Source organism: Homo sapiens, chromosome 1, assembly GCF_000001405.40.
Source record: "Homo sapiens chromosome 1, GRCh38.p14 Primary Assembly".
Classification (NCBI taxonomy): domain Eukaryota; kingdom Metazoa; phylum Chordata; class Mammalia; order Primates; family Hominidae; genus Homo; species Homo sapiens.
The window spans coordinates 19,128,892-19,145,039 of NC_000001.11; the positions used below are offsets into that span (position 1 = coordinate 19,128,892).

A 16,148-nucleotide genomic window follows, 5' to 3' on the forward strand; every position below is an offset into this window, starting at 1 on the left:
TCCAGGTCCTCTGGAAGAGAGATGTGGGCATGCTTAAGGACGGTCCAATCATGACCTGACAGAGATCCAGGTGAGCTAAGAGATACCTGCATGTATGGGATGGCCCGGACACCGCCAACGTTTCGTAATTGAGGCAGGGTCTGCAGTAATCTCTCCAACAGCATTAGACGGACCATGTGCAGCCTAAAAGGGTGGGGAAAAGATAGAAAATATGAGCTGTACTCCAACAGGACACAGCTGAATACAGTTCCCTCCCCAACCCCACCCTGCTACCAAGGTCAACAAGAAGCCTAATGCTTAGGAACAATCTCCAGCATTAAAAAAAAAAGTTAAGAACTGCCTAATCGGTATGCCAGTCAGCAACACAGAAGGAGAGATCCCACTCTGTTAAAAGAAAGTGAAACTATTCTAAAATACAACTGATGGCACTGAATTAAATCCTACTACAGGGAAGTTCAAAGTATTTCCCAAGCCTCCAGGCCCTAGTAGTTCTCAGTTTCAAAACCAAACCTCCAACTGCAAGATTTATGGCTTTTTTCTAATATGTGGCCCTATTCTGCCTCCAGACATTATTTTCTAGAATTCTGCTATATACAAATTCTATATCACCCAGCTGCACAGTGACCCAGCCCTTTCTTTCTCACGTTTCCCAAATTCTTATAAAGTCCAGTCACTGCTCTACTCTCTCACACCTTGTCCACCATCTTCCTAATATAATGTTCTGTTTCAATGCCACACTGTCCTACTGGACCCATGAGTTTTCCCGTATAATCAACTGGCCATTACCTAGCCTTCATCTGCAGATATACAGCTGACCTTCTGTACTAAGTATGTGCCCCTGGATCTCTAGCTAATATGCTGATTCAAGAGGATGATGAAAATTAATTAAAGTCCTACTGACAATTTGGTTGCTAGTCTCACCTAATACACAATCTCATACAGATTAAGAATCTAGTTGCTGAATAAATCAATGGATTCACTTTCATAATTAGCAAATGGTCCTTGTCTCATTTTTATCTTCAGATTATTTGTAAGAAACCATATACCTATTTTTTTTAATGTGTGATTGGCATGTGTTACATATCTTAGCAGGTATCCAGAATATTGTCTTTTTCTTTTCTTAAAAACAAAATGTTTTTAAATACAAAAAAGGACCAAAAAAATTGTTTTAAAGAAAATAGCTGGACATGGTGGTGTGCCTATCATCCCAGCAATTCAGGAGACTAAGAAGGGAGGATTGGTTGAGCCCAGGAATTCAAAGATGCAGTGAGCTATGATCATACCACTGCAAACTAGCCTGGGCAACAGAGCTGAAGTGAGCTACTGTCCCCAGCCCAGAATATTTTCAAAGTAATACAAGTCTGGATGAAAGTACAGGGTCTAGGGTTGGGTGTGGTAGCTCACGTCTTTCAACACTTGGAGGCTGAGGCAGGAGTTCAAGACCAGCCAGGGAAACATAGCAAGACCTCATCTCTACAAAAAATTTAAAAATTAGCCAGACGTGGTGCCATGTGCCTGTAGTCCTGCCTCAGGAAGATCACTTGATCCCAGGAGTTCAAGGTTACAGTGAGCCATGATCATGCCACTGCACTCCAGCCTGAACAACAGAGCAAGTCCCTGTCTCTAAAAATAGAACGAATGAAAGAAAGTACGGGGTCTTACGTGAATTATAAATTATTGTCATTCTAAAAAGAACTCAAAGGAATGAGCTAACTGTTCTTCAGAATACCACGCATGTGTCTGTTAATAATTAGCCAAGCTAGGTGGGGACTACAAACGTTTAAGAATTGCTCAAAGATGAACAAGGTACAAGTGAGGAAAGGTGAGATGACAGCAGCAGTTCAATAGTTTGAACATAAAACATAAGACGGCTTTGTTTTGAGATGGATTAATATCTTCAGATTTGGAGAACATACAAGTGAATACACACACATGAAGAAAAAAGTCAACAAAATGAGCAGAGTCTAGACTTGGACCAAGATCACAGCAGAGTATTTTCAAACATCATTCATTCATTCATTTTGTTATTTTTTTTTTGAGCCTGGGACACTCTGTTGCCCAGGCTGGAGTGCAGTGGCACAATCACAGCTCCGTGCAGTCTTGACTTCCTGGGCTCAAGAGATCCTCCCACCTCAGCCTCCTGAGTAGCTGGTACCACTGGCGCATGCCATCATGCCAGGCTAATTTTTTTATTTTTTGTAGAGACAGGGTCTCCCTATGTTGCCCAGGCTGATCTCAAACTCCTAGGCTCAAAAGATCCTCCCACTTCAGCCTCCCAAAGTGCTGGGATTACAGGTTTAAGTCATCATACCCAACCTATTTTCAAACTCTTACACAGTACTCTTGAAACTTAAAAAAAAAAAAAAAAAAAAAAAAAATAAACACAGCACCAAAAACTGCAGTTTCCTTTTCTTTAGTGACTTAAAGTAAAATTCTGTTTTATTTAAAATAATTCATGTTTCAACCAAGCAAAAACTGAAAATAAAACCAAAATTTTTAAAAATAATTCATTAACCAATTATTTAATTAACTTATTCATGAAAAAAGGTTAATTTAAAACCACTATAGAGAATTCCATTGTCAATATGGCTAGGTTACCTAAATTCACCCTACTCCTAAAAACAAATGAAAATCCTAAGATATAACACCATTTTAGAAGCAGTGATGAGTCTCAAGAGATTTCAAAAAAAATCTAAAATACACTGGGCGTGGTGGCTCATGCCTGTAATCCTAGCACTTTGGGAGGCCAAGGTGGGCAGATCATCTGAGGTCAAAAGTTCAAGACCAGCCTGACCAACATGGAGAAACCCCATCTCTACTAAAAATACAAAATTAGCCGGGCGTGGTCACGCATGCCTGTAATCCTAGCTATTTGGGAGGCTGAGGCAGGAGAATCGCTTGAACCCGGGCGGCAGAGGTTGTAGTGAGCCAAGATCATGCCAATGCACTCCAGCCTGGGCAACAAGAGTGAAACTACGTCTGAAAAAACAAACAAACAAAAAAATCTACAAACACCCAGTATGTTCCCAACCATGGTAAAATTAAAATATAAACCAATAACAAAAAGATAACTAGAAAATTCCCAAATGTTTAGAAATTTAGTAACATACTTTTAAATATCCCATGGGCCAAAGACTAAATTACAACAGAATTTAGAAAATAATTTGAATTGAATAGCAATGAAAATACAGCATTATCAAAACACAACATTATCAAAATATGTGAGCTGCAGCCAAAGCAAGATTAAGATGGAATTTTAGAGAAAAATATATTGCTTCAAATATGGTTTTTTGTTTGTTTGTTTTTTTGAGACAGAGTCTCACTCTGTCACCCAGGCTGGAGTGCAGTGGCGTGATCTCGGCTCATAGCAACCTCCACCTCCCACATTCAAGTGATTCTCCTATCTCAGCCTCCCAAGTAGCTGGGATTACAGGTGCACGCCACCACACAAGGCTAATTTTTATATTTTTAGTAGAGACAGGGTTTTGCTATGTTGAGCAGGCTGGTTTTGAACTCCTGGCCTCAAGTGATCAGCCTGCCTCGGCCTCCCAAAGTGATGGGATTACAGGTGTGAGCCACTGGACCTGGCTGAATATGTATTTTTAAAGTAGGTTTAAAATACATATGATTAAATGATTTAGGTTTGTATCTCATGAGCCAGAAATAGAACAGGAACAATAGAACAATAACAACAAAAAAAAAGTAAAAAATGGTAAAAAAAAAAAAAAAAAAAAGTAAGTAAAAGAAAGGAAATAATAAAAAGCAGGAATAGAAAGCAGACATACAACAGAAAAAAACCAGAACCAAAAGCCAATTCTTTCAAATAAAGTTGATAACCCCTAGAGCAAGACTGACAAAGAATAAGTTACTATTGTCAGAAATGAAAAAAAGCAAATCACTACAGATTGTCAAGACATTAAAAAGATGAGAGAAAAATATATGAACAGGCTCACGCCAGTAAAACTGACAACTTTAATAAAATCAACAAATTCCTTGTAAAATACGATATACCAAAATTGAAACCAAAATAAATAAAAATAATTCTCTAGCATTTAAAGAATACACCTAATTTTAAATCTTCCCTTAAATAAAGTCCAGACTCAGATTACTTCACTGACTGGTGAACTTCTCTAAGAATTTATGGAAGAAATAATACTAATCTTATACAAACTCTTCTAGAGCAAGAGAAAAGGGGATCATGCCCTGACTTATTTTATGACGCCAGAATAATGTGAATACCAATCCCTGACAAAGACATCTCAAAGAAAAATTTTAAGCCTAAACTAAAAATTAGCAAATCAGGTCACATGATATAAAGGAAAATACATCATGACTAAATAGGCTTAATAATAGAAAAATCAATTAACGTAATCTATAACCTTAAACAAAATAAAGAAGAAAAACCATATAAGTGATTCAATACATGAAACACAAGAAACTGGAAATCTTGAAAAACCCATTTAAGATAAAAATCTCCCAGCAAACTAGGAACAAAATCTCCTTAATCTGATAAATATCCATAAAAAACCCTTGTGCTAACATCATACTTAATGAGAAAGTATTGAACCTTTACACCCTGAGTTTGGGAATGAGATAATGTTCATCATCATCACTTCTTTCAACATTGTACAAGAGGTCTTAGCCAACGCAATAAGGCAAGAAAAGAAAATTAAAAAGTATAAAGATTGGAACGAAAAAAGTTACACTGTTATTTGCAGGTGATAAGATTGTGGATACAGAAAATCCACTAGAATCTATCATTAGAATAAATAAATGAGCTGGGTGCAGTGGCTCACACATGTAATCCCAACACTGGGAGGCTGAGGCAGGAGGATCACTTGAGGCCAGGAGTTCAAAACCAGCTTGGGCAATAGTGAGATGCTGTCTCAACAAAAAAAAAAACTAGGCTGGGTACGGTGGCTCACACCTGTTATCCCAGCACTTTGGGAGGCCAAGGTGGGTGGATCACCTGAGGTTGGGGGTTCAAGACCAGCCTCGTCAACATGACAAAACTCTGTCTCTACTAAAAATACAATAATTAGCTGGGTGCCAGGTGTGGTGGCACATGCCTGTAATCCCAGCTACTCAGGAGGCTGAGGCTTGAGAATTGCTTGAACCTGGGAACTGGAGATTGCAGTGAGCTGAGATTGTACCACTGCACTCCAGCCTGGGCAAGAGAGTGAGACTCTGTCTCTAAAAAAAAAAAAAAAAAAAAAAAAAAAATTTAAAAACAGCTGGGCATGGTGGCAAGCACCTAGCTACTCAGGCAGGAGGATTCCTTGAGCCTAGGCATTTGAAGTTGCAATCAGCTATGATTGTGCCACTGCACACCAGCCTGGGCAACAGAGTGAGACTCTGTCTCAAAAATAAATAAATAAATAAAAATAAATAAAAATAGCTGGGCATGGTGGCATGTGCCTAGCTACTCAGAAGGCTGAGGCAAGAGGAGTCCTTGAGCCTAGGCATTCAAGGTTGCAGTTAGCTATGATTGTGCATACCAGCCTGGGCAGGTGAGACTGTCTTAAAAGAAAACAAAACAAGAAACAACAAGAATAAGTAAACTAAGAAAGATTATCAGATACATAGTCAAAATAAAAGTAATAATGAGCTCACTAGCAATTAAAAAGTTACTGGCCAAAGATGTAAGCAGAACTCAGAGACAAAGTTTAGGAAATCTGAAATTTGAAAAGTTAAGGCCAAGATGTTCTGAAGGCAACTTGACCTTCTGGCTGCCAGGACCTCACAGGGCATTTGGAATAGAAATAAAAGCAAAGGATCTTCCTCAAGTGGGGAAGGTCTTCATTTTTTTTTTTTTCTTTAGACCTCCTCTGTGGACAGTGGGGAAGGTCTTCAAAGAGAACCTCACAGAAGAACCACAGAAGGCTATACCCTCATTTTAAAAGTAAACTGTAATACATGACTTCCCTTCACACTCTTCCCTGCACCTGCACCCCCGACCCCACTCTAGCCTAGGAGCCTATAAGGAAAACTACCTAACTGAAATCTTAATACTGAGAAGAGGGGAGGAGAAAATGAATAGCTGCTGAGAATATAGTCCAGTTTATAGGTTTTTTTTTCCTTTTAATGCTTTTGTGTCCTATTCAATAAATCTTTGCCAAACCCAAGTTATGAAGACATTTTGTCTTTTAAAGGCAATAAAATGTTACTCTTTGTATTTACATCTATAATTCAACTGATTTTTGCATATAAGATCAAGTCAAGATTCATTTTATTCTATGTGCGTTTCCAGCTGACCCATTATTATTTATTGAAAAAACCCTCCTTTCCTCCATTGTACCTAAGTGTCACCTTTGTTATAAATCAGATGATCAGGTATGTGAGAAGCTGTTTCTGAACTCCAGCCCATTCCACTAATCTATTTGTCTATCTTCATACCATTATCACACTGTCTTAATTACCATAGCTTTATAATAAGCTATAATTCTATAAAGTCCTCTAAATTTATGAATTTTCTTCAATACTGCCTTGGCTAATCGACATAAATGTTAGTATCAACTTGTCAATTTTAACACATAACTCCAGCCAAAATTTATGACTAGGATTATATGGCTCTATATCAATTTGAAGACAATTATCTTCACAATGAGTCTTTCAATCCATAAACATGATGTAGTTCTTCACTTATTTAGGTCTTTAATTTCTCTTAGATTGTACAGTGTTCAGAGTAGAAGTCTTACATATCTTTCAAATTTATTCCTATTTGATGTTTTTTAATGCTACTCAAATAGATCAAGAAATTTATAAATAATTAAGCACAAGAAACACAAAAGAAAAAGAGATTCTAAGAGACATGAAGAAGAGAATATGATGGTCTCACATCTATTTAACTGAAATCCCAGAAAATAAGTGAAATAACAGAAAATAAGACAAAAAGAATATCTGATAAGATTAATAGATGAGATTTTTCCAAAATAAAAGACACTAGCCCACACATCCAAGAGTCCCAAAGACTACTAAGCAAAATAAATGTAAAGAAATAAATCACATATCCTGGTAAAACTGCAAAAATAATGACAAATGAAGATCTTAAAAGCAGCAGTAAAGACATTACTTTCAAAGAAGCAACAGTTAAAATAGGAGGTGATTTCTCATTGGAAATAACAAAAGCGAGGAAATAACAGAATACCATTTTCAACTGGGGAGGTCGGGGGTGCTGCCAACACAAAATTTTATACCCATCAAAAATACATCCCCAAATGTAAGTTCAATAAAGGTATTTCCAGACCAACAAAATCTGAGATAGTGTAAATCAGAAAACCTCCCTAAAGGAAAATCTAAATGATATCGTTTAGGAAAAAAATAATCCTGGATGGGAGGTCTCAGAGGCATAAAGAAATGTTAGGCACAGAAAATGGTAAACATATGAGTAAAACTTTAACAAACACTGACCTTATAAACTATAAAATCCTAAAGGCTTTAAGAAGACATTAAAAAAGTTAAAACACACAAAGGAGTAAAGTCTTCTAAGATCCTCATATTATTCAGGAAGAAGGTACAGCTATTAGTTAAATTTCATTTTGGATAAGGTAAGTATGCATGTTAAAATGCATAGTATAACCACTGAAAGATTAAAAACAGAGTAAACAACTTCCAAACTTGCAGAGTTGGAGGAAAAAAGGAAAGAAACAGGAAGAAAAAACTAGCAAGTCAACTCAAAAGAAGGCCACAAAGAAAAGGACACACATAGAACAAATAAGAAGCACAAAGTAATAACATACATCCATTCCAAATCTGTTAGCAATCAACATTAATTATAAATGAACTCAACTATATCAAATAGAAGACAAAAGCAGGCTGGATTTTAAATGTTTAAAGTAAATTTTTTAAAAAATCATAGAGACCAAATTAACTGAACATAAGGGAATTAACCTAGAAATCACATTAAGAAAAATGTTAGAAGATTTTTTTAAAACTCTATCAAAATATCATCTATTAACAGAACCAGAGAAATTCATCCAGAGATGTTAAGCGGCTTACGTTCAAGCAGTAGGATTCGGGGAACGTGGAAGGCACTCTTTGATGCCCCCTTTAAATGTCTCTGATGCCTGACTGCATCAGGCACCATTTTTTTTACCTGATAGAAATCATATAGTTCAAAATTCTGGGCCAGGTACAGTGGCTCACACCTGTAATCCCAGCACTTGGGGAGGTGGAGGTGAGTGGATCACTTGAGCTCAGGAGTTCCAGATCAGGCCTGGGCAACAGGGCAAAACTCCATCTCTACAAAAAATACAAAAATTGGCCGGGCGTGGTACCGCACACCTGTAGTCCCAGCAACTCGGGAGGCTGAGGTAGGAGAATCACCTGAGCCTGGGAGGTTGAGGCTGCAGTGAGCACTGTTCACACCACTGCACTCCAGCCAGGGTGACAGAGGGAGACAGTCTCGAAAAAAAAAAAAAAAATTCTGACTTACTATTTTTACACTAATGTAACAACTGCTGACCTCAACAAATTCAACAAACATTGTATCATGAGTCTTATTTTCAGGTTTTTCTTCTATTTCTCTAGTTATCTCTGGGTTAAGAATACATTCACTTCACCATCTAGTACTAAACCCCAACACAAAAATGGATTAGGATTTTATAGACCACTTTCAATTTCAAAATGCTCCACCACTGGTATTTCTAGCCATATGCATATATTTGCTATGTCTTATTTCTCCTTTACCTTACAAACATGCTGAACAAGGAGCGCTTCTAGGACACCTAATACGTATACCTAAATGTTGAGCCTCCAGCGGTGCCATTTGTAAAGAGGATGCCATATATTGAGTGTACAGATATTGATGAAACTGGAAAGATTTGAGTAAGGAAGACATGTTTTTATGACAATCACTTTACAGTTACTAAGATATTTAGAGGAGCCTTAAGAGAAATACCACTTTCTATTCTCTCCGTAATTAATATAATTCGAAGACAAAGACAGACCTAGAGCACTTCCTAAGACTTTAAACTGTTTCAGAAGTTTACACCTTTATATTTCAAAAGAAATATGCTGTTATCACTACTCTACCTCCTGCAATTGATCAGTCCTACTATTCCTGAAATAGTCTCAGATAGGCAAGCCTCTTAACTGTGAAGGACTAGGTCTTGACCTGTTGCTAGTGTGGACATCTCCTTCAGTTTCTCCTTCTCCTTCTCCCTCGGAGCCATCTCCCTCCTGGTGCCCAGTGGTGGTGCTGATGGCTCCAGTGCTTGAGCTGACACTTCCTGGTCCAGCCGGATGCCCCTCAGCTGTAGCATCGCCATAAGCACTGCTCCGGCCAGATACTAGAGGGAAATGGTTTAAAAAGCACAAATCAACTCCCAAAGCATGAAGGAACCCAGTGCATTCTAAAGCAGCAGCAATAGTTAAGACAGTAACTGACAGCATTAGACAATAACTGGTAGCATTTTTGTCTTATATGTAAAGCTAAGTAAGACCCCACAGCACTATGTTAAATCACTCTCACAGTAGCCATTCACCCTTCCCCAGTATGTAAGACCCACCTATATGAATGATCTTAATCTCAGATGCTAATACATTTCTATCTCATACTTCAGAGGAAACATACACTGATAGGGGAATCTAGAAATTATCAGCTGCTCTTCATCTCCTCTGTAAAAATTGTATCCAGTTGCTAACCACAGACTGATATGGAAGGTCAAACCAAAATGGCTTTGTCATGTTCCCTCATTCTAGAGCCCCACCTCATCAGCTAGTAGACTGTGGGGATGGTCTGCTATGTTAACACATCAGATCATTAACAATAAGATCGCTTAAAAAAAAACCCTTCCCCAAATAAATGAGGAGAAACCATAGGATAATGGGTTTCAAGGTCACATAATAACTGTTTTAGGCTAATCATGACTTATAATTATGCATATTATCGCAGTTTCAGAGAGGAAAAAAAAGACTTACGCATGTCATTGCTTTTTTTCCACTAACAGATAATTAGTAAATATCTGTAAAATATTTCAATACTAACCCCCTGAGCTTAAGCCACTAAACATTTGAAACTCGAAAACTGAGGCCAAATGAATTCCACAAGACTTTCAGAGAGTCCACAAGACTTTCAATGAGTCTCTATACCTTTTCTTTGCAAAAACCAACCCCAAGACCCAAGCAGAGATTCCTGTTTTGTCCCCACCCTCTGCCCAAGGAGACAGGACCCCCGCCATGGCACATTACCACTGTGCTCGCCAGCCACTGAGTCCACTGCACTGCCCCCGCTCTCCGAGCCCACACTACCACCGTGGTCAGCAGGAGAGGTCCGAAGGGTAGAACCATCTGTCGCTGCTGTACTGCCCTCGTCGTCTGAGGCTGGAGCTGAGAGAGTAACGAGAGCTGTTACAGGTTAAAAAACAAACAAACAAACAAACAAACAAAAAACAAAAAAAACCCCTCCTTGGGATGAAAGCATCAAACCACATAGTGCATAGGACACAATGCAGTTTATATATCCTGTCGTCAAAGAAAAAAGGGAGAGATTTGCTTTGCTGGTTAATCACTAACAGGAACAAACACTATACACGGTGCATTGCAAACAGTACTTAGACAGGAGTGAAGAAAACCCAGTTCACTGGGTATTTCCTTCACTGTTTTACATTACAGTGCAAGTAGAACAGTGCAGAGATTCAGTAAGAATCTGTGACATGGACGCTGAGTTTTCTAGCTAAAATGCTTCATGGTCACCATTGTTTAGGTGTTACTGACACCTGCTGAGAGATCTGAAACTAGCCATTACCATTCAAAGCATAGAACTCTGAATTTTAATGAGACTTGTTTTGAAATCAGTCAAGTTTTGCTTATGTTAGGAAATCACTTAGCATGAGCTCTTGAATCAACCCTGTTTTGGTTTTTTTAGCAAGTGGTCCAGAGGGGAGCTCATTGGGAAATTTCACACCTCCTAATCATCCTCATCAGATGCTAATAATGAAGCAAGGAAATTCCCCAGAGACAGCCACAGCATCCAGGATCAGGGCTGAGCTGAGACAGGAGGAAAATGCTGGATGAGATACATGGGGGAGGAAAGCCAAGACAGCCACAGAGCACAGCGGGAACACGACTGGCACAACACAACAGCAACCTCAGAGCCTGAAATGACAGCAACTAAAGAGACCTAAGAAAAGCAACAAGCCATGGCAGCAGGTGGGGCCAGCCGCTCTCTCCCTTTCTTAACTACCCAGGCTAAAACTTCCAAAAGAAAAGAAAAAAAACAAACACAAGGAAGCATCAGTCTAAAAAACTATAAATCAACCCTTAAATTACTCAGGGGTTGACCAGGTATCTCCATTTGGTCCAACTCTCTATTCAGGAAACATTTTTTTTTTTTTAATCAGATTAGGGAAAAGATTGAAAATAAAGAGAAGATGAGTTCTGGAGATTTGCTATAGATTTTAATTGTCCATAAAAACCCTCTCTCTCAAGCTCACAGATCCTGATGGTTGGTCACACTGAACAAGAATTCTGAAGTATAATCTAGCTTCTTATAGCTCTCCTTTTATTTGCAAATGAAGATAAAAAAGGTAAAAGGTATGAGTTCTATTTCTTGTCTCTCTTTTAATACTGTCTAAAATGTTAGAACTCTGACAAAGAACGCTGGAAGCTGAAGTGGAAGCCCTGTAGCTGATCAGCCTGCATGCCGCTCTCTCGGCTTTTCCGTGGGGAAGTAGCTGAAGCCAGGCAGCATGCAAAGTGTGAGGAAGCGGAGCTGTGCGCGGCGGGGCCGAGCCACAGCACTACACCCTCCACACCCATCTTTCTAAAGCCAAGGCAGAAGCAGGAAGTCCAGAATGGCCTGTCAAAGCAGCTGCCCATTACACTCTCACAGCAGTGGAAACAAGGCCTGAGGGTCCTGGGGCCCTGAGCCGTGCTCCTTGCTGTGGACAGTTACCTGATGCTGTGGTGTCAGAGAGGGTTCCTGCGTCCAGAGAGGAAGAGCTGGGTGCCTGGCCGGACAGTCCCAGGCTCTGCAGGCCCAGGGCACTGCTGCTGCTGCCTGGGAAACAAGTGGAGAGTGAGCACAACATCCCCTCCAGGTCCCATCCACAGCGCTGCTTTGGCCACCTGCTGCCCTCAAGAGTCTCCAAACACCAGCATGTGACCCCCTCTGGCCTAGAGGAAGTTAGCTAGCAGCCACTGCTGTCCACCCACCAAGTTCAGTTACAGAGATGGTGGAATGCTTCCTTCAGCTCAGGCAGGACACAGGCTGGAGGAATCTAAGATTCAAGAGGAAATAACCCAAACTGGCAGAAACTATGAGATTGGCACTCAGACTGAAATTCCCACCACATCCCTCTCACTCTCCACCTGTATCTCTGAACAGCTCTCACCCAGATCAACCTCTCCCCATATCTGGGGACAAACTAAGTCAGCTGGATATCAGTAACTGCCAAACCCTCTTTTCCTGTGCAAGGCCAATGGGCCGCTTTGTTCTTGGCATGGCCTTCTACCTTGTTGGTCCTGCTGCAGGCTCAGGGCAATGGCTAGTTCAACCATGGTCTCGTCATCTGCATCAGGTGGGATGTCCAGCATGGGGGGGAAGCCCTCTGCGCCTGCCAGCAGGGCCTCCAGGGGAGAGGGGTTGCCATTGTTGACATTTTCAGCTGTCTCCAGGACCATCGACTCAGACTGCAGAGAGAAAGCTCTGTCAGTGTCCCATGGTAAGTGGTAACTTTTGGAAGTCCACTGAATAAGAGCTAGAGGAGAGTTGTGAAGCTCCTCCTCCCCTTCTCCTGCTGCCAGAGACTCACCACCATCTCAAAATCTCCATGGTCCACCTCACTCTGTTCCTGGCTTTCCTGACGGATGTGACCACCATTCGGGATCCCTGATGACTGCATTTTCTCATCTGCATCATCATCGTCATCATCATCCTTGTCTCCTGAGTCAAAGAAACCCCAGTCACCTGAAGGTGCTTGCTTTCCTCCCTTGGCACATGGTGCCATAAGTCAGGTGGCAACAAAAACCCAAGACAAGCTACCAGCTAGCACCCTGGGCTTTAGCGGGAGAACTCCGGGGTGCTATGCCTGGCCTTGTTCTCTTACTTCTTGGACCTACAGCATCTGGGAAGATGGAGTTGGCTGCGACAGCTTGCCCCCCACAAAAATAAAATGTTCCAGCTGGTGAAGGAAACAAACTTGGATTCCAAAGGGATTTCCATAAAGGTGAGAGATCTAAAACCAGTAGGCCTCCCAAACTCACGCTAACTCTCAGGAGACCTTGGATAAGACAGGAAAAATCATATGATTGGGATCTTTACCTTTTGTCTGTCATGGCAGATTAGAATTTATTTCACTATTTTTTTCTAAAACAACTAGGTCAGTGAGATTTTCACACTACGTAATTACTATGAGAAGAACCAGAATTGAAGTGTAAAACCATTGACTGGAAACCAAGGACACCACTGCAGGTCCTGCCTGTGCCCACTTTTGTGTGAAGGTGAGAAGGCCTTCTAATAAGGAAGATGTCCAGGTGAGACTCCTAATTGTCAGAAGAGGATAGAGACCTCACCTTCCACTCGATGGATTGCTAAAGCTTGTAAATATGTCCGTTAGAAACATAAACTATCTCCACTCTAGGTTCTTGCTAGGGAAAAGAGCCACAAACTGCTGCCTAACCCAAAAGCTTAGGCAAGATAAATGATATGCAAGGAAGATTTTCTGAAAGTCACAAAGTTGTGTACAATCCTCTAGATGTGCACTGTCCACCAGCCACATGTGACTACTGAGCACTTAAAACATGGCTGTCTAAAAGGAGATGTGCCACTAGTGTAAAATACATTCTGGATTCCCAAAATGGTACCAAAACAGGCAAAATATTTCACTAATAAATTTTTTATATTGACAAGATGTAGATATAATATTTGATATACTGGATTAAATAATTAGTAAATCAATTTTACTTTTTACTCTTTATAATATTGCTATTAGAAAATTTAAAAGTACAGGCCGAGCAGTGGCTCGCGCCTATAATCCTAGCACTTTGGGAGGCCGAGGCGGGCGGATCATTTGAGGTCAGGAGTTCGAGACCAGCTTGGCCAACATGGTGAAACCCTGTCTCTACTAAAAATACAAAAATTAGCTGGGCACGGTGGCACGCGCCTATAATCCCAGCTACTAGGGAGGCAGAGATTGCAGTGAGCTGAGATGGCACCATTGCACTCTAGCCTTGGTGACACAGTGAGACTCTGAAAAAAGACGAGAGAGAGAGAGAAAGAAAGAAAGAGAAAAGAAAAAAAGAAAAGAAAAGAAAGAAGGAAGGGAAAGGAAAGGAAGGAAGGAAGAAAAAAGAAAGAAAGGAAGGAAGGAAGGAAGGAAAGAAAGGAAGGAAGGAAGGAAGGCAGGAAGGAAGGAAGGAAGGAAGGAAGAAAGAAAGAAAGAAAGAAAGAAAGAAAGAAAGAAAGAAAGAAAGAAAGAAAGAAAGAAAATTTAAAAGTACATAGTGACTTTCATTTGAAATTTACTTCTAAATCAAGCCAAGTAACCAGAATTATATAATTCTGTTATTCAGACACCTTTTAGAATTGCTTTTACTGAATCGTAAAATGTTATGCCCTTGACTGTATTGTGTATTGTGTATTGTGTACTGTGTATTGTGAGGGAAATTCCTGTGAAATTTGCTATCCAACTTATTGTAGGTAAGTCCACTAAGGATTCTGCCCCTTTGGCAACAAAATGGACATTTAATGAAGAGCTTCTATCCCAAGAAAAGTTATGTTTCTGTTTTGTCTTTGGTCACTGTGATTTTATTTTTGCTATGGCTCTTAGGAAGCTTTCAGCCAAATATAAGACCCTCGCTTACCAACCATGCAGGACCTTTGTGATGTGAATTTTCTGTATTTTGATTTTACTATGGTACTTTTATTTTCCCATGGCCTTTAATCTTTATTTTTATCCTACTTACTATATACATTTTGATGTGCCACCTAAATTCTTTATGGGGTGAGGTAGGATTAGAAAAAAGACAGATACATAAAGTCTCCAGGACCTTGGTCAACATGAGCAGCATGCCCAATGCTACTGTACCTCCCTCTCTCCCCTCCTCCCAAATACAGGCTTGAGCCTAAACCCAGACCTCATATTACCCATTGGAGTGTTGCTTCGAGGGGAAGAGGGTAAAGTCACATGTCTCCGTTTGTTCCTGGGCCTTAGGACTCGAATTAGAGCTTGTTTACAAGAGAAGCTCACAGCAGGATCCTGAGGTTTAAAAGGAAACTGTCACGCTTTGCTCTCATATTATTCATGAAACTCTCTATAAAACACTTTCCTTTCTTGGTCACTCACTCACATGCAAGTGGAATACCTCTCTACTCTCACCTGCAACCCAGCGGACCAAGTTCAGCAGGTTAAGTTAATCCCCGCTTCCTGTTCTGGCACACATTAAGAGCCATTCGCTAACCTCCTGTCTCTCAGTTCCTGGGGATGGACTGGCAGGTCATTTGCTCCTGAGGCCATTTTGGCCCCTTACAAATGGTTCTGGCTTTTTATCAGATGATCAAGCCCCCAGCGCACGTCTTAGCTCTGTGCTAAAATCAGTAGTTTTAACACTTAGCTTCTGTGAAAGGGTCACTGGAAATAGAAATCTTGATGTACTACTTTCATTCATGTGCTCATTTAAGTCACAATTCACCGAGTTACCTAGCACTTACTATGTAGCAAGCAGTAGGCTGTCCCTGGTGATTCAGCACTGAATAAGAAAGACTGAGCCCATCCCCTTTCCAAATCTTTCTCTTCCATGGAGTAAGATCTTAAAGCTTTTATTGATATTTGAAACTTCATTCCCTTCAGCTTCCTCTAAATATATTTTATTTCATTAGCTTAGCAAGCTAAAAACAATTTTCCAGATATTCCCTGGCTGCTGCGAGCTCTCTGGGATTGTAATGCTACGTACAGGACACAAGAGCATCTGCATGTAGATCTTGGATGCTGTGTTAATACAATCCAGCTCACAGGTACAGTAGCCATGGATGATGTCCACCAGAGCATTGACAGTAGCTTCAATATGAGTTAGTCCTAAAGGAGAGACAAACATTATTTGAAAATCTGGAGGAAAAAACTCTAACTACTTGAGAGTCTGAGACAAAAGTGTAACCTTTTATCTCCATGTAAAAGGTCATGCAAACAAAATGACAAACACTCACATAC

General features: G+C 40.2%; 1 protein-coding gene across 50 annotated transcripts in view, besides 1 other annotated feature; it reads right to left on the reverse strand.

Annotated features, from left to right (window-relative positions):
- UBR4 (ubiquitin protein ligase E3 component n-recognin 4) overlaps positions 1 to 16,148 on the reverse strand; it is a 135,757-nt gene that overhangs the window by 54,382 nt on the left and 65,227 nt on the right. For 16 of the 50 annotated variants that reach the window (XM_047416510.1, NM_020765.3, XM_047416481.1 and 13 more), the window contains 8 exons: positions 15,895 to 16,016; positions 15,089 to 15,200; positions 12,756 to 12,886; positions 12,456 to 12,633; positions 11,897 to 12,001; positions 10,192 to 10,329; positions 9,116 to 9,290; positions 87 to 183 (listed from right to left, as the gene is read on the reverse strand). In XM_047416510.1, coding sequence (XP_047272466.1) covers positions 87 to 183; positions 9,116 to 9,290; positions 10,192 to 10,329; positions 11,897 to 12,001; positions 12,456 to 12,633; positions 12,756 to 12,886; positions 15,089 to 15,200; positions 15,895 to 16,016 — 1,058 coding nt within the window. The remainder of the gene's footprint in view (positions 1 to 86; positions 184 to 9,115; positions 9,291 to 10,191; positions 10,330 to 11,896; positions 12,002 to 12,455; positions 12,634 to 12,755; positions 12,887 to 15,088; positions 15,201 to 15,894; positions 16,017 to 16,148) is intronic. The other 34 variants (XM_047416516.1, XM_017000828.3, XM_047416484.1 and 31 more) reach the window with 5 other exon arrangements.
- Positions 10,482 to 11,231: an enhancer, noted in NCBI's record as "NANOG-H3K4me1 hESC enhancer chr1:19465867-19466616 (GRCh37/hg19 assembly coordinates)". NCBI's record gives its function as "activates a minimal SCP1, AML or CMV promoter by ChIP-STARR-seq in naive H9 embryonic stem cells {active_cell/tissue: H9 hESC(naive)}" and the evidence as "EXISTENCE:reporter gene assay evidence [ECO:0000049][PMID:30033119]".